Source organism: Homo sapiens, chromosome 17 (assembly GCF_000001405.40).
Source record: "Homo sapiens chromosome 17, GRCh38.p14 Primary Assembly".
NCBI classification, from domain to species: domain Eukaryota; kingdom Metazoa; phylum Chordata; class Mammalia; order Primates; family Hominidae; genus Homo; species Homo sapiens.
The window spans coordinates 68,773,091-68,796,394 of NC_000017.11; the positions used below are offsets into that span (position 1 = coordinate 68,773,091).

The 23,304-nt window shown below is 40.2% G+C and overlaps 1 annotated feature.

Annotated features, from left to right (window-relative positions):
• Positions 1,439-1,808: an enhancer, noted in NCBI's record as "active region_12651". NCBI's record gives its function as "activates an Ori minimal core promoter by ATAC-STARR-seq in GM12878 lymphoblastoid cells {active_cell/tissue: GM12878}" and the evidence as "EXISTENCE:reporter gene assay evidence [ECO:0000049][PMID:35858748]".

A 23,304-nucleotide genomic window follows, 5' to 3' on the forward strand; every position in this document is an offset into this window, starting at 1 on the left:
AAGATTGGAAAAATTTGTTCCAGCATCCTTGCATGGAAGTAAAGACTTCCCATGAAACCAAAAGTATAGTTTCTCTCTGACATCTCTTGAAATAAACACTTCTTAGTCAGAACTATCCCCCCATAGATGGCACTTTAGGTTGGGCCAAAAATGGTAGAAAGGATATGGGATCTCTGCTTCCAACAGCATTTGACAATTATTCTACTAGAAAAACACATGCACAGTATGTTGATTGCAGCACTATTTACAATAGCAAAGACTTGGAACCAACCGAAATGCCCATCAATGATAGACTGGATAAAGAGAATGTGGCACATGTACACCATAGAATATTATGCAGCCATAAAAAAGAATGAGTTCATGTCCTTTACAGGGACATGGTTGAAGCTGGAAGCCATCATCCTCAGCAAACTAACACAGAAACAGAAAACCAAATACTGCATGTCCTCACTCATAAGTGGGAGTTGAACAATGAGAACACATGGACACAGGGAGGGGAACATCACACACAGGGACCTGGCGGGGTTGGGGGGCAAGGGTAGGGAGAGAGAGCATTAGGACAAATACCCAATGCATGTGGGGCTTAAAACCTAGATGACGGGTTGATGGGTGCAACAAACCACCGTGGCACATGTATACCTATGTAACAAACCTGCACGTTCTGCATATGTATCCCAGAACTTAAAGTAAAAAAACAAAACAGAAAAACTTCTCAGGGGTTAATGATGACTTTTAGTGCATTTATAAGTATTTAAGAAAGAAGACCAATAAGAGTAGGTTTTCAGAACGTGGTGGTTAATCTACTTTTGCTTGAAGTAGAAAAATAAAGGAGAAACAAATCCTTGCAGAGGAGTTCTCTGTGGGAGATGAAGGTGAAGTAAAAGGGAAAATGTGGCCAGTTTACGATTAACTTTACTCTTGAGAGGTGAAGCAAATTGAGTTTCCCCAGGGGGATTTGCTTAACCCTTAACAAGTTTCAGCCAAAGGAAACCATTTGTGAATTCCTAGAAGATTATTTTGGCACTCTGTGGGCGGCAAGCCACCCAGGTGCCAAGGCAAGAGATCGAGGGCACAAGCTGTTCCAGTATAATAAAGAAAATGCATAGAATAAGAATAGTTATACTAGAAATAGATTATAGATATGATTATATGTGAATATCATTAATCATTAGTTTGTAGCATTACTCTTTATTCCAATATTATAATAATCTTTGCTCTACAATTATAACCTAGGAAAAACGAGGCCATAAAGAGATAGGAGCTGAAGGGACACAGTGAGAAGTGACCAGAAGACATGAGTGTGAGCCCTCTGTTACGCCCAGACAGGGCCACCAGAGGGCTCCCTGGTCTAGCGGTAATGCCAGCGCCTGGGAAGGCGCCTGTTAACTAGCGGACCTTGGTCTAGCGGTAGCGTCAGTGCCTAGGGAAGGCACCCGTTACTTAGCAGACCAGGAAAGAGAGTCTCCCTTTCCAGGGAGAGTTAGAGAAGACTCTGCTCCACCACCTCTTGTGGAGGGCCTGACATCAGTCAGGCCTGCCCACAGGCATCTGGAGGCCTAAATGTCTCCCTGTGATGCTGTGCTTTAGTGGTCACACTCCTGTTTCACTTTCATGTTCCGCCCTGTACACCTGGCTCTGCCTTCTAGACAGCAGTAGCAGAATTAGTGAAAGTACTAAAAGTCTTTGAAATGCATAGAAGAAATAATGGCATAAGCTGTCCTCTCTCTCTCTCTGCCTCTGCTGCCAAACAGGGAAGGGCCCCCTGTCCGGTGGACACGTGACTCATGTGACCTTCTCAATCACTGGAGATGACTCACACTCCTTACCCTGCCCCTTTTGCCTTGTATCTAATAAATACCAAACAGCCAGGCATTCGGGGCCACTACCGGTCTCTGCGTCTTGGTGGTAGTGGTCCCCTGGGCCCAGCTGTCTTTTCTTCCATCTCTTTGTCTTGTGTCTTTATTTCTATGATCTCTCATCTCTGCACACGAGGAGAAAAACCCACAAACACTGTAGGTCTGGTCCCTACAGCACTCAATTTTCCTCTTTCCCTAAAACCAGAAAATACAATGTCCTATGCCAGTAACCCAGAAATAAAAAGTAGTTACGTCTAGTATAGAGAATATACAAAGAGGTTCCTTGCAAGTTTAAAGTTCTAGGAAAGGCAGCAAAAAAGAAAACATGATTGATTTCTTTTTTATGATTCATGAGTATTACAACTTCTTAAGGCAGAGGAGTTTTTCTAAGATACTGCAATCCATGTTTTCTGATTTTACAGAGAAGAAATAGAAATCCAACCCTTTCTGGAAGAATAATCCTATGAGATTTAGGTGAAGACAAGATTTGTGTTAGAATCCAGCTCTTCAAATATGGCTTGGTTGATTCACTTCCTAAATGATTTATGAAGAAGCTGATTTTTCATTCCTGTTGTCATAACTACAAGCTGTGCTGTTGTTTCCTGGAACTTAGTTTTTATGGGCAAAGGCTTAGGAAAATGGTCTATAAAGGCCCTCAGCAGTTCAAGGACCTATTAGTTCAGTCTCCTCTCTGTTCTCCTGCCATAGAAAGTTGTTTTTGGTGTTGTAGAGCAATTGTGCATTGGTCTCAGTGTTGAGGCCTGTTTCTCCTGGTTCTGGGAAGTCATAATCAATAAGAATGAAAACCTCATATATCTGCTTGTTGTATTAGCAGAATTTCCTGTGATGTGTTCAGCTCCTTGAGATCTCATTAGATGTTTCTCTATATAAGTATTCCTTGGCCAATGAAGTTTGAACATTTTGAAGTTAAGCAAATTTAATCTGTTATTCCTTTACTTCCAAATTTCTCAGATTCTTTATAAGCTCATGTGCATTGTGAATCTCCTAGAAGACATATATAACATGAAACATTTCTCCAAATTTTGGGTACAGATGCCCTTTTTGCCAAACATCTTGAGGGACTAGTGTCCCAAAGAACATACTTTGGGAAGTGCTCTGTTACTTCAACCTGTGCGTTAAAACCAACTTCTCCTGTTAGACATCTAGTCCCCAAAAAGCCTACAAATTAAGGTTTTAATGAAAAAATGTGTTAAGTAATAGACAAAGTCCAAGGATCCACCTCATAACAAATCAGGTACATATTTAAGCCTATGTGTTTTCAGATCATGTTCCTTTAAAAACCGTCTGTATTGATGTGTTTCATAGAGAATAGCCAATTCACAAGACATTTCCCTGTTTTTTTGAAATGGTTAATAGTTTTTGAAAATATTTTTCTCAAAAAAATCTTAGGCATATTTGGAAGTGTGTGTTTTATGTCAGCTATCTATGTCTAGAATAGACCACCAGCATAGTGATATTTCAACCACCTGGAAGGCAAACTTTTGGATATTAGTTGTAAGTGTGTGTTATAAACCCAAGCTCTTTCAGATTAAAAAAATGCTGATGAATTTTGTTCTGGTGAAATACGCCAGCTCCAGGAAGAATAAAGTATGTTCAAGCATCCCTCTCTCCCCTGCTCTTGTTAAGAGAGGCACTGTTTAGAGAAGGAGGTTTCAGGGCCTGCCAGGGCCGCAGAGCTGAACTGAACCTGCTGATGAGACATACTTAGGTTTCATCATTGCTTTGATACTGTGGGGCTCAGAGTCTGGCATTCTCTGCCTCCTAAGGTTTTGATCTTCCATGAAGCTTCACTACTAGGTAGATATGGGGCTGTTTCCCTCCTGGGTAAACCTGCGTTCTTTCTTCTCTATTTCACCCTGGGAAGGCCTGGAATGGATGATTTAATCTAGGTTCTTTTGAAACTTTGTTAATTATGGGACTCTATAACCTGGGTTAGTCTTTCCTTGCCTCTTCTTTCCCACAGATATTGGCTTAGGTTAAGATGTGGGTTCTAGGGAAAACACATCAAGGAGATCATTCCATTTTCTGTTTTTTTTTTGTGCGTAAAGCAGAGGCACGAGAGGCATCCTGGTGTCTCATTCATAGAAAGAGTTCTGCATAGGGGTCTGGGCCCAAAACTCGGATGAGTTTTATAGATGAAGGGGTTTCTCTAGAGTGGCTCCTTTGCACGAATCCTGTATCAATCTTCAGTCATCATAAGTAGACAGGGATTTCAGATCCTGGATCTTTGTTCTCTCTTTCTTAATCTCTCTTTATTAGAGTTACAAAAGTAGCTGTGAGTGTTTCAGGCAACTGAACAACAACTGATTTACACATCTGCTAAGGTTGGCAGCTAAAAGCGTTTGAGAAAGTTCCCGATTTGATTTCCCACTCCAGAGGTTGAACCTACATCAGAGCACCATGAGTAATTGCTCTTTAGTACAAACATGTGCTTCTAAATACATAAGCAATGAGCTTTTGAAGCTGTCCCATGGTTTAATTTGAATTAGTTCAAGATGATACCTCCGGGGAGGCCCAGCAGGCAGACATTTCCTGCCCCACTTCCCTGGTGGGGCAGAATCACTGCTGGGAAGGCATGAAGGAAATCTGTCACTTTGGTTTCCAAATTTGGCCAGAAGGTGGCACAATCTGAAAACCCTTTTCTGCATCTCAGTGGAAACAAGGGCTCTGTGTTTTTCACATTCAGGTCAAAGATTCCAAGTAGAACTGGAAGAAGACCAAATATTGTAAAAGACTATAATTCATATCCTGAAGATTCTTGCAGTCCTTGGGGGCATTTCTTTGGGAGGGCTTGGGAAAAAAATAAACAAGCAAAAGAAATCTCATATGTACACTCTGAGAATTTTAGAGACGATTGGCCACGTTCTTTCAGAGAAAGGTACAAAAACAAAGCACTTTTATGTTGTTGTAAATAACAAGTTGGGATAGGGACTGGGAGAAGGACTTTTCATTTCCTTTCTGGAAACAAACAGCTTTATGATTGCAGCTCCATGACCTTTCTTGCTGTCCTGAGGGAATAGAAACTTCCTGACTTCTACAATTGGACTATTAGACACTTCTGATTTTCACGGAATTTAAGAATTGGAGATGATTTTTGAGGACATTTGGTCCAAACTTTACCCGGTGCAGAAGTTGATCTTGTTATCTCTCTGACTGATAAGAGAAACACCACCTATTTGCAAACCTCGGTGGGGTCAATAGTACATTCACCCGTCTTTCACTTCATCCTCATATCTGCATGGCGAGTTTGTTGTTTTCGTTGTGCTACTGACATCATTGCTAATAATGCTTATTGGGTACTTTCTTTATGAAATCCATTCATTAAAGGAATATTCATTTAATGATTATTTACCTGGGGCTTCATGTGCCAAACAATGAGTGAAACAGATTACATGCCTTATCTTATTGAATCCTACGACGAGCACCTGAGACAGGTGCTGTCTTTATCTCCCATTTGCAGCTGAGGAAGGTGGTGCTTAGAAAGATTAAGTAACAAAGGTTAAGGACAATGATTATTGTCTAAGGAAACACAGCTCAAAAGCAGTGGTAGTGGTAACAGGGGGCTTGTTTTGAGCCATGTTTGGCTGACCCAGAGTTCATACGCTGAACCACAGTGTTCTTGAGTCTACTGAAGTGTGTGTCGATGGCCTGGCAGGGATCCAATTCTCTCACCTGCCACCTGAGCATTTTTATTTGAATGTCATTAGACACATCTGTCTTTCAGGACACCAGGATCTATCCTGTGCTCTTCAGTTCCTCTGTCTGAGGTCTGTTCCTTCCTCCACATGACATCTCTTCAAATGTTTGAATGCTATGATCGTGTCTTAATGTTAATTCCCTTTTTTTTAGGCTAAACAGACTCAGCTTTCCAACTGCCCTCCTAAAAGACATGACTTTTTTTTGTTTTTGTTTGTTTGTTTGTTTGTTTGTTTTTTGGAGACAGGGTCTTGCTCTGTCACCCAGGCTACAGTTCACTGGCACAAACACAGCTCCCTGCAGCCTCGACCTCCTGGGCTCAAGCAATCCTCCCACCTCAGCCTCCCAAGTAGCTGAGACTATAGATGCGTACCACCATGCTTGGCTAATTTTTGTAATTAGGAAAGGCTCCTGGACCCGAATGCCCATGTCTCTGCATATTACCCTATTGTACACATTTGTTATTTCTTTTTCACAATGAGGAAACCAATGTTTTGGGTAACTTACCAGAGGTTACTAAGTATGGGGGTTCGCCGTGTTGCCCAGGCTGGTCTTGATCTCCTGGGCTCAAGCAATCCTTCCACCTTAGCCTCCCAAAGTGCTGGGATTATAAGCTTAAGCCACCATGCCCAACCCAAGACATGACTTTTGAGCCCTTAACCCCTTTGGGATACTGTTTGTTTATTTGTAGGTCTTGTTGTCCCTTCTGTGACTTTCTGAGACTTGCAATTACTCATTGGACATTTGCCTTCCCCGTTAGACTCCTGCTCTGTGAGGGTGGAGGCCAGGTCTTTTCTGTTTATCACAGACCTCCAGAGCCTTGCTTGGTTCCCAGCATGGTGCAGCTGTTTAATTGATGAAATAATGAATCTCCAAAATGGGATTAATTATAGCTTCTCTTCTTCTTTCATAGGATTGTTGTGTGAAACAAACAACACAATGCATGTAAAAGTACTCTGTCGTGCTAAAACATCATGCTGATGCCATTACCAAGAGATTCATTGCATATCAAAAGTCATATTGTTGATTAGCATGGAATGCAAAACTCTCCATCCATTCATTGATTCATTGGTTCATTATTTATTTAAAAGCTACTATGTGCTCACGTAATGTATTTTAAAGTCCTTTTTTCTCTAAGTTTCCCTGGTTTTCATCCCTCCTGTTGTGTGTAGATCCAGAGCCACAGACTCACTGCTTCATGCTTCTAGGTTCAGAGCCAAATTCTACCCATTAGCTGACAGAAAACATACTTTCTGCTTCTTGAGAATTTGCACATTGCCAGACCCTGAGTCTCCCTGCTCCTAAGCCACGGTCAGGGGTGCTATGTCAGTACCCCTGATGGGTAGAGTGTAACCTTACAATAAATGCTGCTCTTCATAGAGAGATGTCTACTAGTGCTCTTTAATACTTAGTCCCTCAACAGTGGGCAGTGTGGTCCAGGAATCTTTCCTTATCAGTGATGATCAATGATAATCACATTCAGTTATTTGATCATGTTCCTGCCTTAACTTTTACCCTGGAGGACAGAGACATGTAACTGGACCCATGGAATAGGCTCAGGGTCTTATAAGATGGCAAAGCATGGAAGTTTTATACACGGACCCTGGGGTCAGATTCATCTTTGTTCCAGTCCTACCTTCACTGTTCAATATTTAGGAACCTCTGATAAGTTACCCAAAGCATTTGTTTCCTCATTGTGAATAAGAAATAACAAATGTGTACAATAAGGTAGTATGTAGAATAGGGTAATTGTGAAGATTAAAATTAAATACTGCACTTAAGTAATTTAGCATAGTGCCTGGCATACAATAAGTTCTCAATAAATAATAATAAAAGAGAAGCATCAAAGAAGGAGCTTCTGGTTTCTGGTGTCTCAATGCCTGGGAGTTTCCACGGGTCCCAGGAAACAGGTTTATTATTAAGAACATCAAGCACCATCCTTCCACTAGTGCAAGGCTTCTGAACAGAGGCGCTATTGATATTTTGAGCTGGATAATTCTTTGCTCTGGGTAGCTGCCCTGTTTAGATTGTTGCTGGCCTTTCTACACCACATACCAGTAGCATCACCCTCTGCACTGCCCAAGTTGGGACAATCAAAAATATTTCCAGACATTGCCAAATGTTCCCTGGGAGGCAAAATCCCTCCTGGCTGGGAATGTCTCCATTAGACCAGAAACAGATTGCTGAAACATGGCTTGAACATATTGTAACATATTCAGCTGTTCGTGTGCTTCTAGATCAATACTACAATTTTTTATTTTTATTTTTTGTCCCCTCTATTGCCGCAATACTGAAAAACACGCCATTACATATGAACATAACAACTAAATATATACTTAATAATAACAATAAAAGCAAATATTGAATAAGAATTATTAAAATATTTTATATTGTAAATTTATCCTGGAATTATAAAATAGATGCAGTCCCTTATAGAATATTATCAATTTTTAAAAGCATTTTTGTTATTTTGTTTTTTATATTTAAATATTTTATGTAATTTATTTTGGTGTAGAGTGTGAGGTCTGGATCCGCCTTATTTATTTATTTTTTTAGATGGTTAAACTTTGTCTTAACACTACTTGTTGAATAATCTGTGTTTTCCTAGCTAACTTGAAATGGCGTTGTATCCTATTAAAAAAATTCTCCTGTTTCCCTGGTCTGTTTCTGGGCTTTCTGGTTCATTCTATTGATGTCTACTTATGGATGTTCCAGCTGGTGACTGCTGTTTTAGTGATTTGTTGAGCACTTACTGTTCTCTGTGTGTGGTTTTATCTTATTTTTATTTTTTTGAAAAACTTAAGATATAAATCTCTTACCCTAAAACTCACTATTTTAATGTACATGATTCAGTGGTTTTTAATATATTCAAAATGTTGTACAACTATCATTATTGTCTAATTACTGGACCTTTCCATCACCTCAAAAGGTTAGCAGTCGCTCTCAACTCTCCCCTAACACCACCAGTCCCCCTACCAGTAACTCACAACCACTAATCTTTGTGGTTCCATAGATTTGCCTATTTAGAACATTTTAGATAAACGGAATCACACCATATATAGCCTTTGTATTTGGCTTCTTTCACTTAGCATAAGATTTTCAAAGTTCATCTACATTTTAGCATGTATCAGCACTTCATTCCTTTTTATGGTGCAGTAATATTCCATTGAATGATTATGCCACAGTTTGTTTATGCATTCATCAATTAGTAGATATTTGTGTTGTTTGTACTTTTTGGTTATTATGAATAATGCTGTTATGAACATTTACGTGCAAACTTTTGTTTGAGCACACATTTTCAATTCTCTTGGATTCATATCCAGTAGTGGAATTGCTGGACCACATGGTAAATCTTAACATTTTGAGGAGGCACCAGACTGTTTACCACAGTGTTGAACCATTTTACATTCTGACTAGAAAGGCATGAAGACTTCAATACATCCACATATTCACCAACATTATTTTCTGTTTTTATTTATTTGTTGTTTTTATTATTGTTGTTGTTTATAGCCATCCTAGTTGGTATGAAGTTGTATCTGATTGTGGTTTTGATTTGCATTTCTCTAATGTCTAATAATATTGAGCATCTTCTTATGTGCCTATTGGACATTTGTATATCTTGTTTAGACTAATGTCTATTCAAATCTTTTGTGTATTTTAAAATTGGGCTATTTATCTTCTTATGTCAAGTTTCAAATTTTAAAAAATATATTCTAGATATTAGACCCTTATTATATGTTTGATTTACAAATATTTTCTCTTATTCTGTGCATTCTTTGTTCACTTCTTTGATAGTGTTCACTGACACACAAAAGTTTTTAATTTTGATGAAGTTCAGCTTGTCAGTTTCTCCTTGTTTGTGCTTTCGGTATAATGTTTAAGAAAGGTAACTAAGATTTACACCTATATTCCTTTTTAAGAGATTTCTAGCTTTACCTCTTACATTTACATTTTGGGTCCATTTTGAGTTAACTTTTGTATATGGTGTGAGGTAGGGGTCCAATTTTATTCTTTTTCATATGGATATCTTAAGCTGCCCTCTCGTCTTGTACTTTTGTGTTGAGAAAAGGTCTATCAGAGTCTTGGCAACTAAGCAATTTTCAAATTAGGAATCTGATTACTTAAATTCAGTATTAAACATGTGTAGCTGGAACCATGATTTGGATGCCAATTTTTATGAAACAGACTCTCATTCTTACAAACCCCAAGGACTCTTAAATCATCATGATGGCTTTTCTGTATAGAATTCTGAGGCTTCAGATGATGTGCCAGTGGAGGAGCCATTGGCTAGGACAGAGACATCTTTTAGGCAGATGGAGATTTTGGCTGAAATGGCATTTGAATAATGGAATGCGGCTTGCAGGGATCTTGCAACATTGAGTCCTGGGACTGAAGAGGGATAATGTAATGACATGGTCAGTTCATGGCCCAAGTTCAGGGAGGGCAGCAGGCTTTCCTCTGGGGAGTGTCTCTCTTCTTTCCTGCATGCCATAGGCACTTAAAAATATGAGACATATCAGACTCAGAAACATGCTAAAAATTCCACCATTTCCAGAAAAGGAGATGCAGAGATTAAAGTGAGTGGCATTAAGAGATTTTATTCTTATTCAGTAATAGGTAAGCGCGCTCTCTCTCTCCCTTTTATTTTTTATTTCATTTTATTTTTTAATATTAATTTTTTTTGAGACAGAGTCTTGCTCTGTCACCCAGGCTGGAGTGCAGTGGCATGATCTTAGCTCACTGCAACCTCCGCCTCTTGGGTTCAAGCAATTCTCATGCCTCAGCCTCCCAAGTAACTGGGATTACAGGCATGTGCCACCATGCTCGGCTAATTTTTTTTTGTATTTTTAGCAGAGACAAGGTTTCACCATGTTGCTCAGGCTGTTCTCAAACTCCTGAGCTCAGGTGATCTGCCCGCCTCAGACTCCCAAAGTGCTGGGATTACACGCATGAGCCACCAAGCCTGGCCACTGTTTCTTTTCAAAACACAATGAAAAGTCAGGTTTCTGAGAGCTTTGGTGGGGATGCCCCATTTTTACAGCCACCTCACTACTCTTAAATTTGATTACTATTACGTGTCCAAAATTAAATTAGGATCAATATTTGTGGCAAGTCCCCTTCATCTCTACTGACAAAAAAGTTGTCATTGGAGAGTGGTTAAAATGTGAGGCCTCCTTGACCCTTGGGGCTCAGCCCAAAAGGTCCCACACAGACAGATCCTTTGAATAAGGTTAAAGGGCTATTTATTCCTCTGACTTGCTGTTTCATATGAAACAAATGTGAATTGTCCTGGCCCATGTCCAAGGGTCTAGAATGGAATGTTGTGTCACCCCTTAGGGTGATAGGAGTTAGGTTTCCATGAAATGAAGACTGCCCATCTGCCACCAAATGCCAGTCCTAAGGGTGTAACCTTCCTAGAGAAGGGACCACTTGTTCCCTTTGCATAAATAAAGCCCATGCTATTTATGTGGCACTGTGTGCCAGTTTCTAGCAGGGCTGAGGGGACTTCAGCGTGCCACAGTAGGACAGCGTCCAAGGCACCAGCTGCCCACGTTCTGCGGCCATTCTGAGAACACAGTGGCTTTAAACATTGGATAGAAAGGTGACAAAGGAATGAAGAGCCAGGGACTCTTTTTTACCCTCTGCATAAACCAAAGGAACCCCTTTATTCTGAGAACTTGTTCTGTTGGCTCTGAGACTTTTTTCCCAGCCTATTTCTCCCAGTCACTTATTTGTTCATTGCAAATGACAATAAACATCTGAGTGGCATTTATTCTGATTACTGTTTTAAATTTCTGGTAGAAAACACAGACTTACAGCTTTAGTAAACTCCTACTGTGAAAGAAGTATTTATTATCTTTACTCAGGTATCATAAGACACCATGTCCTGGCATGCAGACATAAATACATGCAGTCGCCCCTGCTATCTGATGTTTACGGCAACAGGGATTAATAGTTCTGTTATTCTCCAGCTAAGTACAAACATAATAACAGTTTGGGTTAATATGTACAGTTTTACCCCCACAAGTGAGGTTACTAAAGAAACAAACATACTCTGAACATGCGGCACATGATTTTAGAAACAAGATTCTCATTTTATCTAAAACACAGACCAATACTGCAGTTGAGATGGAGGGAATCTCATTTAGCTACCTGAAATACCTGCAGTACCAAAATCTAATTTCCAGCCTTTTTGAAAAACAAAGCCCAAGGTCTGTTATTCACTGATCATATTTTAAATCTTGACTACCACCAACTTTTGTTACATGAAACGGAGATAGCCATATATCTTCGTTTAAATTTTTTATGCTTTAGAATTTTATACTTTGTGCTAGAAATCACTGCTCTTAAACCACATGGGCTAGGTTTAATGTTCATAATCTGTCTACCTTATTACATACAGCTTGAAATACTTTTCTACCTTTTTTTCTGTTTTCCTCCACTGAATTCAAATACATTTATTAAATTAATAGCCCTTGAAAATGAAAAAAAATTTGAGATAATTAGCAAGCAGTAATGTCTATCACTGTGTGTCAGTAATAATGAAGTTTCCATAGTAGAAGCTTGAAGTATCTGTGAATTGTCATAAATTGTTTTTCAACTCTAGGGAGGTGATGATGATGGTGATACTTTGGCTAACATTTATTGAGTGCTGACCAGGAGCCAAATACATGCTAATAATAGGCTTTCTGGGTTTTACCTTATTTAATCATTATGATTGGATGATAAGGTCTGGAACTCTTATCAGCTGTATATCACACATGAGGAAATGGAGGCCGGAGAGCCTTGGGAACCTGTCCCAAATTGCCTAAGGAGTAAATGACTGGACCAAGTGGTCTGAGATCAAGATCTGCCCTCTTCATCTAATTCCTTATATGTTTACCAGATTCTATAGCTTATAAAATGCTCTTGGGTCTTTTATTTTATTGTGTACTTTGCAAGGGATGATATTTAGCATTTTGTAAGCAAATATTGGTGATCGGAAACCACATCTGTATTTACCATCCAAACAACTGCACAGTAAGAATCATTTCAAGAAGCCATCAGCTGTTCTCCTCTAGATGAGATTTGTCTGTGAGTGACTGTGGACGATGATAGAACCACATGCCAGCCCCTGCAACACACTGATAAAGTATGTGGATCCATCGAATAGTCAGTAGCTGCCTTTGCAAAGATGGCAGAAATTAAAGCTGGACTGAAGCTGGAGAATGTGAAAGCAACACTGGCTCATAAACGGTATTCTGGGGGAACCTAACGTAATTCAATGGTAGTTGCAGATGAGGAAGTGAATGGTGAGAATGGGCTAAGTTAAGCATTGGCTTCACATTCAGAAGTGTGTCCAGGGGTCTAGAGAAGTCACTGGTACCAGTCTCATGGGGCCATGAATGCGAGCAAGTGGGGAAGATGTCTCCACAACCCTGAAGGTGATTTAACCAGCATTTCCTGCAGAGCTCCAATGAAACCATCAGGTGGCTGTATTTTCCAATCCACATTCTTTTTAGTATTCCTATCATAACCAAACCAGAGCAAAACAGCTTTAATATACAAGTATGGCTTTGCTGTTTCTTTTCCTTCCTTCCTTCCTCTTTCCTTCCTTCCTCCCTCCCACCTTCCTTCCTCCCTCCTTCCTTTCCTCCTACCTTCCTTCTTTGCTCCCTCCCTCCCTCTTCCCTCCCTCCCTCCTTCCTTCCTCTCACCCCTCTCTCCCTCCCCTCCTTTTCCTTCCTTCCTTCCTTCCTCTCCTCCCCTCCCTACTTCCTTCCTCTCCCCGCTCTCTCCCTCCTGTTCTTTTTTCCTTCCTTCCTTCCTTCCTTCTTTCCCTCCTTCCTTTTTTCCCTTTATATATTTTTAAAGGCATAGTGGAAAGATCCAAGACTTTGGAGCCAGATAGCCTACTATGCACATCAGGCTCAGACACTTATGAGGTATCTACCTTGCTTTTTTAAGTCTCAGTTTCTTTATTTAAAAAAACGTGAAATTACTCAACCATTTCACTAAGGCATCAAAGAATAGAAGAGGCTGATTCCTGGTATATAAGCAGTTGCTTAATTAATGATGTTTGTTTTTTATTTCTTCTTTCCCTAAAAAAAAAAAAAAAAGACTCTATTGGTGAGAAATCTGAAGTAAATAGCATACTCTTCAAAATGAGGACCATTTTTTTAAAACATTTAGTGAATACCAACTGAGCATCAGATGCTGGAGTTACAGAGAATCTGATGGTTAACTGAGAGAGACATCAAGTCAGAGTAGTTCGGATAATCTCCCCAGTGTGTGAAGCGCAGTGAGAGCCCAGAGAATGGGGCTGACTCCTGCCAGAGAGATTACAGATTCCTCCCTCAGTGTGAACCACGGAGAACAACCTGGTGTTGGCAGGAGAATGGGAAGTGGATGAAGATATATGGGAAGAGCCAGCCAGGTGCATGTTGTGTGCAGGGAACTGTGGTGGCTGGAGATGAACATCATTGTCATGAATAGGTTAAGAGGTCAAGCTGGGAAAACAAGAGGCAAGAGATGTTCCAACATCTTCTTCACAGCTCTGTGCTCGTCTATGCTAATGTGGGCATCATGTTACTAACAGGAACAGAGCATAGGAGAGCTTCACCATGCTTTGAGGACCCTTGGTGAGGCTGCTTCATTTGGCTAGAACGTGTGTGAGGGGGAAATTGAGACTGAAGCTCCACACTCAGAGCGAAACAATGACAAAAGCTTATTACACAGTGCAGATAAATGGGGAGACAGCACCCAAAGAGGGGTCTTCAAGGCCAAAGTGGGGGATGTGAAAAATGAAGTTAGTCGTCATCAGAGACAAATAAGCAGAATGCATGTGAAGTCAAATATTGGGTTTGGGACACGCAGGTTTGCAGGTATGGGAGCTGGCACCGAGGCCAAGGAACACCTGATTGTGATGGTCACAAAGGTGCTGAGTAAATCAAGTTTTATGATCTTCAGTTGCATGTCCAGTCTATAATGTCATGTTTCAACATGGAGATTAGCATTTTTTGGTGCTAACATGTCAGCTATGACTGGCTGTTCTCATGTATCTTCATCCACTTCCCATTCTGCTGCCAACACCAGGTTGTTTTCTGTGGTTCACGCTGAGGGGGGAATCTATGATCTCTCTCAGGGGAGTCAGCCCCACTCTCTGGGCTCAGTGCATTTCACACACTGGGGAGATGATCTGAGCTACTCTGTGACTCAGTGTCTCTCTCAGTTAACCATCAGGTTCTCTGTAACTCCAGCATCAGACATTCAGTGGACATTCACTAAATGTTTAACAAAATGGTCCTTGTTTGAAAGAGTATGCTATGTACTTTAGATTTCTCACCAATAATTTTTTTTTTTTTTTTTGGTAAAGAAGAACTTGGCACAAACAAACAGGTTAGAAGTAGACCCCTAAAGATCCTAAACTCCTGCCCCAGGGAGTCCAAAGATATAGGAGAACCAGACCCACGCTGTAAGTCTCCCACTCTTTTAAACAATTTTTAAAGTTTTAATTTTTGTGGGTAGATAGTAGGTGTATATATTTTTGGGGTACGTGAGACATTTTGATACAGGCATGCAATGTGAAATAAGCACATCATGGAGAATGAGGTATCTGTGCCCTCAAGCATTTATCCTTCATGTTACAAAGAATCCAATTACACTCTTTAAGCTATTTTAAAATGTACACTTAAGTTATTGTTGACTGTAGTCAACCTGTTGTGCTATCAAATAGTAGGTCTTATGATCTTATTCTTTCTATTTTTTTTGTACCCATTCACCATTCCCACCACCCCTGCAAGTCCCCCACTACCCTTGCTAGCCTCTGGTAACCAACCACCCTTCTACACTCTTTGTCCATGAGTTCAATTGTTTTCATTTTTAGATCCCACAAATAGGTGAGAACAAGTGATGTTTGTCTTTCTGTGCCTGGCTTATTTCACTTAACATAATCATCTCTAGTTCCATCCATATCATTGCAAACGACTGGATCTTATTCTTTTTTATGGCTGGATAGTACTCCACTGTGTATATGTACCACATTTTCCTTATCCATTCATCTTACTCCATTGTATATATGTACTACATTTTCTTCATCTATTCTTCTGTTGATAGGCACTTAGGTTGCTTCCAAATCTTAGTTATCATAAACAGTGCTGCAACAAATACAGGAGTGCAGATATCTCTTTGATATACTGATTTCCTTTCTTTTAGGTATATACCCAGCAGTAGGATTACTGGGTCATATGATAGCTCAAGTTTTAGGTTTTTGAGGAACATTCAAACTGTTCTCCATAGTAGTTGTACTAATTTACATTCCCACCAACAGTGTAAAAGGGTTCTCCTTTCTCCACATTCTTTCCAGCATTTGTTATTGTAGTCTTTTGGATATAAACCATTTTAACTGGGACGAGATGATATCTCATTGCAGTTTTGATTAGCACTTCTCTGATGATCAGTGATGTTGAGCATCTTTTCATATATCTGTTTGCTACTTGTATGTCTTCTTTTTAGAAATGTCTATCCAATTTTTTGGCCCATTTTTTGATAGGATTATTAGATTATTTTCCTATAGAGTTGTATAAGCTCCTTATATATTCTTGTTTTTCATCTCTTGTCAGAGGGGTAGTTTGCAAATGTTTTTTTCCCATTATGTGCATTGTCTCTTCACTTTGTTGATTGTTTGCTTTGCTGTGAAGAAACTTTTTAACTTGATGTGATCCCATTAGTCCATGTTTGCTTTGGTTGCCTATGCTTGTGGGGCATTGCTTAAGAAATATTTGCCCAGACCAATGTCCTAGAGATTTTCCCCAATGTTTTCTTGTAGTTTCATAGTTTGATGCTTTACATTTAAATCTTTAAACTATTTTCATTTGATTTTTTATATGGTGAGAGATGGGGGTCTAGCTTCATTCTTCTGCATATGGATTCCCATTTTCCCAGCACCATTTATTGAAGAGACCGTCTCTTCTCCAGTGTATGTTCTTGGCACCTTTGGTGGAAATGAGTTCACTGTATGTGTGTAGATTTGTTTCTGGGTCCTCTATTCTGTTCCATTGGTCTATGAGTCTGTTTTTATGTCAGTACCATGCCATTTGGGTTACTATAGCTCTGTAGTATAATTTGAAGTCAGGTAATGTGATTCCTCCAGTTTTTTTTTTCTGTTGGCTTAGAATAGCTTTCGTTATTCTGGGCCATTTTTGGTTTCATATAAATTTTAGGATGTTTTTTATTTCTGTGAAGAATGTTATTGGTATTTTGATGGGGATTGCATTGAATCTGTAGATTTCTTTGAGTAACAACAGTGTTCTTTAACAACACTGATTCTTCCAATCCATGAAAATGGAATCTTTTTCCATTTTTTTGTTTCCTCTTCAGTTTCTTTCATCAGTGTTTTATAGTTTTCATTATAGAGATCCTTCACTTCTTTGGTTAAGTTAATTCCTAGGTATTTAATTTTATTTTAGCCCCCCACTCTTGAGGAGATGGGGAAGGATCCTGTCACTGGCCACATGGGAAATGCAGAGTTTGTAGTGAGAGGTTTCCCCTTTTCCCTCCCCTCACTACATCCAAGAATGGGAGAGGGAGAGAGTTTCCAAGAGAATCTGTAATAAAGATGATAGGGAGGGTGATGCCCAGAAGGGAGCACTTGCCTTCCTTTCCTTAACTGGATTTCTGCTTAGACACTGCATTTGCTGATCTGTTCCTAAGGAAGAAGAGGATTAGAACAAACTGGTAGGGTGGGGAGAGGCATGAGGGAAGAGCAGCTGTACTCCCATCCATTTTGTGCCAAGGGTCTGCAGTGTTTCCACAGGTCATGTGGTGGGCCACCAAGGAAGTCAACTGGGCTTGCACCATCTTGACTCCCACAAGAGCTGTCCTTAGGATGAGGGGTTGCCAGTAGCAAGAGGCCGTGGGATGCACGGATTGCTAATGGCAGAAACTGGGCTGGAAGTTCTATCTCTTATGTTAGGAAATTGGGCAGTGGGGAGGGCCCTACAGGAAACTCACATAGGTTTCAAAAGTGAATCAGATTTTGGAAACTTGCCTCTCAGACAGCAATGAGGCCCGGTCAATGCTGGTAAGAGATGTGTTCACAGTTAACTGAGTGAGGTCTGCAGCAGCAAGGTGGTTAAGTAGAGACATCCCCATCCATCTCAGACCTTCACCTTGATTAGCCAACATCCTAGTTCAGCTCTGTGTTTGGGGTTGAGGATTTGAAAGTTTGTGAAAGGAAATGATAAATGACTAGAGGGGCTCGTATTCAAAGGTGGGAATAAGGGTAACAAGGGATGAGAAACTGGAAAGGGGAAGGCTGTGGCAGACCCAGGGCACCATCATACGGCACAGACTCGGACACCCACTGTGGGTTGAGTCAGGGCAGACTCATCTGGTTTGCTTGGAACTTTTTCAGTTTTAAAAGTTAAAGTCCTTTGTTCTGGGAACCTCTTCAGTCTTGGACCACCCCGCACAGTTGATCGCTCAATCTGCCAGGAATCCTAGAGTGACCTCTGGCAGAGATAGTTATATTACTCCTATCTGACATCTCAACAGCTCAAAATGGGCCAGAGCCATCAGCTTATGTAACATTAACGTGTGGACCACTGGACTCTAAGCTGCAATGTGGATCATTAAGAGATAAGAGGAAGTATTTTTTGGCTATCGCTTTCAAAAGTCTAAAAATATATTAACAGCTGCAAGAAATCAGCATCTAAAGAACTTAAAAACAGAACTATTAATACCATTCAACCCAGTGATCCCATTACTGGGTACATACCCAGAGGAAAATAAATACTTCTGGCAAAAAGACTCATGCATTTGTACATTCATCACAGCACTATTCACAACTGCAAAGACATGGAATCAACCTAGGTGCCCATCCACGGTGGACTGGCTAAAGAAAATGTGGTACATGTACACCATGGAATGCTATGCAGCCATAAAAAGAATGAAATCATGTCCTTTGCAGCACCATGGATGCATCCAGAGGCCGCTATCCTAAGCAAACTAATGCAGGAACAGAAAACAAAATGCCACATGTTCTCACTTATAAGTGGGAGCTAAACACTGGATGTACACATGGATGCGAAGATGGAAATGATAGATACTGGAGACTCTAAAAGTGGGGAGGGAGGAAGGGGAAAGGGCTGAAAACCTAGCTGTTGGGTACTATGCTCACCACCCGCATGACGGGATCAATCATACCCCAAACTTCAGCATTACACAATATGCCAACATAAGAAACCTACACATGTCCTCCCTAAATCTAAACTAAAAGTCACATCCACGTAAGATGTCCAGGTTAGAAGAAATGTGCAAAACACTAAATTCCAAGCTCAGCAGAAAGATTCTGGTAACAAGGTGCATAGCCAATGCACTCACTTCAGTTGCTGGGCAGTTTCTTGAGCTAGTCCTCACATTCTGAGTAAGGCATCTCATTTGTTACCCTTGATTAATATTTTTGAGAATCAAATGAGGCATTGAACAACACTAAATGCTCTACAAGGCATTAAGAAAGCCAAAAGCCCTTGACATTTTTTTTCTATTCTTTCTCCCTCATTTCAAAACAAGACGTTAATATCACTCCAAGTTTATTGCGTAACGTAAGGGAGTGGGGGAAAACATAATGATTTCAGGAAAAGAAAGGATCTGCAATTGTTATACAATGAGGGGCAAAAGAAGCAAGAGAACAAATGATGAAATCTAATTATGCAGGGTGTTTCATCATTTTCAAAAATTGTTTTATATTTCACACAGAACTACAAGGAGAAAGGGTAAAAAAAAAAAAGTACTGGGTAAGGAAAAAGGAAAAGAGAGAAAGAGACTCCATAAGACCTCTAGTGCCTCATCTATCTGGAATTTGAATATATGGCAGTTGGGATTATCAGTATAAACAGGAATAAGAATCAAGCCAAAATTATTTTGCCATATTCCATGTGGTTATAAATAACAGTAAGTGGCTAATTTTGTATGGTTATTTCTGTAAGCCCTGTAAAGAGAAGGCTTTCATTTGTAAATGGAAGGTTTTGAGGATTGAGTTTCCCTGTTGTTTTGTGGTTTACAAACTCCTAGACACATTTATCTACATGGCAAACCTTGAAAGAAGACCAAAATTTTAGCTATACTCTTTACCATCATTTTCTTCTCATAAACTGGAGCTGACAAAAAGAAATTGACACTATACACGTTGCTATTTTTTCTGCATACTGATTCTCAGGCTTGGAGTTAATTTTTGCAGGGTAACCTTGGACTGTTTGTTTTATTTCATCTTTCTACTTCTCTCAGCTTTTACTAACTCCGGTCACACCAAAAACAAACAAACAAACAAAAAAACACACACACACAAAACTATGACATCAGACCAAAGTTACAAAGTTACCACAGGTCTAATCCTATTGCTAGGTAGTCATGCTTGCTGGTAAAACTGTTTTTGGCATCTTTATCACTATTCACCAAAACCGTAATTATCAGGTGACATCTCCAGGTCCCCAGGGGTGGGACCTTGTTGCATGGCCTCTGCTGCAGGTCATCTCAGACACACTGAGGTTTCCTACAACTTCCTCTGAGCCTTCCTTTGTTCTTTATTGCAGTAACTGGCTAATGCTAGATTCCAAGGTGGCATTCAAAGTCAATCTTCAAATTCCATGCCAAGTGGAGAAACATTTAATTCTGGGGTTGTTTCTAGAAGTAAAGTTTCATTTTAGCAATCTTGGCTTCTCTCAGGGTTTCTGACCTGTGACAACTGGGGTGTAAAGGACAACAAAATAATATTACATTTAAGAACAAGTGATGGGATTAAATGTTTATTTTTCATCTAAAACTTTAAAAAAGGAAGCAAATGAGTAATTCCGTGCTGCCTTTTCACAATGTCATGTAAAATATTGAGTGTTTTTTTAAATAAAACATTTTTTCCCATTGAGTATAAAATATACACACATGAATTACTGATTTATTTTTTTACAAGACAACGTATATTCATGCCCCAGAGCTTCTTTCTCCTTTCAGATAGAAATCCCTTCTGGGTGATTCCTGAGTATTATGTGGATCACTGTGGATTTTGGCTGCAAAAGAGAACAGAGCATCCCTTTTGTAAAAGAAGTATCAACCAATGTAACAGTTTCTGCTTTTTTGCTTCCAAGTTGCTGAGATTGACCAGAAGGCTGGAGCCTAGGCCACCACTGATAGGTTATCTCATTCACAGATTATATCCTAATGTTGGAAGTTTGCAGTGCCTTGCCCCCAGATGAAGACCCCTCCCCCGCCCAGTGATGTGTTTGGAAAAGTCTTGGAAGTAATTGCTCCTTGATTTTTTTTTTTTAGTTTCAAGTGAATAATGCAACAAAAAGCAGAAATGTGAATAATCCCATTGTAAGTCACTCGCCTTCTGGTGGATTTCGGTCAGGGTCAAAGAGCAAACGGGCAGGAACTGGGCTGTTTGAATGAGCTTTGTAAACAAGGTCGTCATCAAGCCATGACTCAATACACAGTGAATTATCTGAAGCCTTTTAGAATTAGCAACTAACCTCCAGGAAACTGGTGCATGTTGCAATGAAGTAGCTGACCATCCAAATAGCACAGGCCACAGCACCATGGGACATTGCATTTATTAATCATTAATTAATTTATTTATTTTTGAGACAGAGTCTCACTCTGTCACCCAGGCTGCATGGCAGTGGCATGATCTTGGCTCACTGCAACCTTTGCCTCCTGGGTTCAAGCAATTCTCCTGCCTTAACCTCTCCAGTAGCTAGGATTACAGGTGTGCGCCACCACGCCGGGCTAATTTTTGTATTTTTAGTAGAGAGGGGGTTTTGTCATGTTGGCCAGGCTGGTCTTGAACTCCTGACCTCATGTGATCTGCCCACCTCAGCCTCTCAAAGTGCTGGGATTGCAAGCGTGAGCCACCACCCCCGGCAGGGACATTGCATTTAATACAGAGGGATCACTCCTCGTGTAGTGTCCCTGAATTCTTCCATTGCTTACAACATTCAAGTTTCCATGAGTGAAGAACTTTATTCTGCTTCATTATTTTTATTTATCCACTTTTTTCTTTGATATGCAGAGTGGCCCAAGAGAGCACAAATTCTAAAGGTTGACAGAAGAGGGAGCACTTGTAACTTTGAAATAACAACAAAAAAGATATGTTTTTCCCTTTATATAATAGGGCTTTGTCTGTTTTTAAAAACTAGATCTTTTCCCAGCTGCGTGTCGCACCAGATGTTCTCTTTGTGAGGCTTGGGCATAGAAAGTCCTCCAAGGCCCCAGGCTCTCATTGCTTCCAGAACACAGCCCTACTTTCTCCCATTCTGAATTTTTTTTAACACAGAACAATCCATTATTCTTACCACCATGTAGTCTGAAAGTCTGTATAATCCCCTAAGGGTAGGAAAAAACAAACACAAACAAGCTAGAAAGAAGATGATTGAAATAAAGTAAAGAGCTGGTAAATACGAAGGCAGGAAAAGAGGTAACCAGGGAAGAAGCTAGAGAACAAGGAAGAGGAAGTGAAGATAATGGGCTGAAAAGTCACAAAACAAAACAGCAAAACAATCTTCCCCTCCCCCCAAACTCTTTTCATATATTTTGTTTTCCATTATGCAAAACATTAGGTTTGATGGGCTTTATTTTCCCGTCAAAAAAACTTACAGATGCAAACAGAAAGGGAAAGTAAGACAAGGAGTGATCCAGGTCTCGGCTCACATGCCTTTGCTGGCAGGTTGAGCCACACAAAATTTCCAAAAATTAACCCTTGACCTACAGAAATAGCAATTTTATATAGTTTGATTCAATATAATTGCCAGTGAGATGACTGTCACATGCGTCCATGTGAAGAGACCACCAAACAGGCTTTGTGTGAGCAATAAAGCTTTTTAATCACCTGGGTGCAGGCAGGTGGAGTCCAAAAAGAGAGTCAGCAAAGGGTGGTGGGATTATCATTAGTTCTTATAGGTTTGAGATAGGCGGTGGAGTTAGGAGCAATTTTTTGCGGGCAAGGGGTGGTTCTTACAAAGTACATTCTCAAGGGTGGGGGGAATATTACAAAGTACCTTCTTAAGGGCAGGGGAGAATATTACAAAGTACCTTCTTAAGGGCAGTGGGTGGGGGGAGGATATTACAAAGTACCTTCTCAAGGGTGGGGAGGGTGTATTGTCACAAAGTTAATTGATCAGTTAGGGTGGGGCAGGAACAAATCACAATGGTGGAATGTCATCAGTTAAGTCAGGAACTGGCTATTTTCACTTCTTTTGTGGATCTTCAGTTGCTTCAGGCCATCTGGATGTATATGTGCAGGTCACAGGGGATATGATGGCTTAGCTTGGGCTCAGAGGCCTGACATTCCTGTTTTCTTATATTAATAAGAAAAATAAAACAAAATAGTGGTGAAGTGTTGGGGCGGTGAAAATTTTTGGGGGTGGTATGGAGGGATAATGGGCGATGTTTCTCAGGGCTGCTTCGAGTAGGATTGGGGCGGCATGGGAACCTACAGTGGGAGAGATTAAACTGAAGAAAGATTTTGGGGTAAGGTATGATATTGTGGGGTTGTTAGAAGGAGCTTTTGTGGTATAGAATGATTGGTGATGGCCTGGATGCAGTTTTGCATGAATTGAGGAACTAAACGGAAGATACAAGGTCCAAATAAAAGAAGGAGAAAAACAGGTATTAAAGGACTAAGAATTGGGAGGACCCAGGATATCCAATTAAAGAGTGTCCAAGGGGGTTCAGCATAATTCTTTGCTTGTTTGGTGAGCTC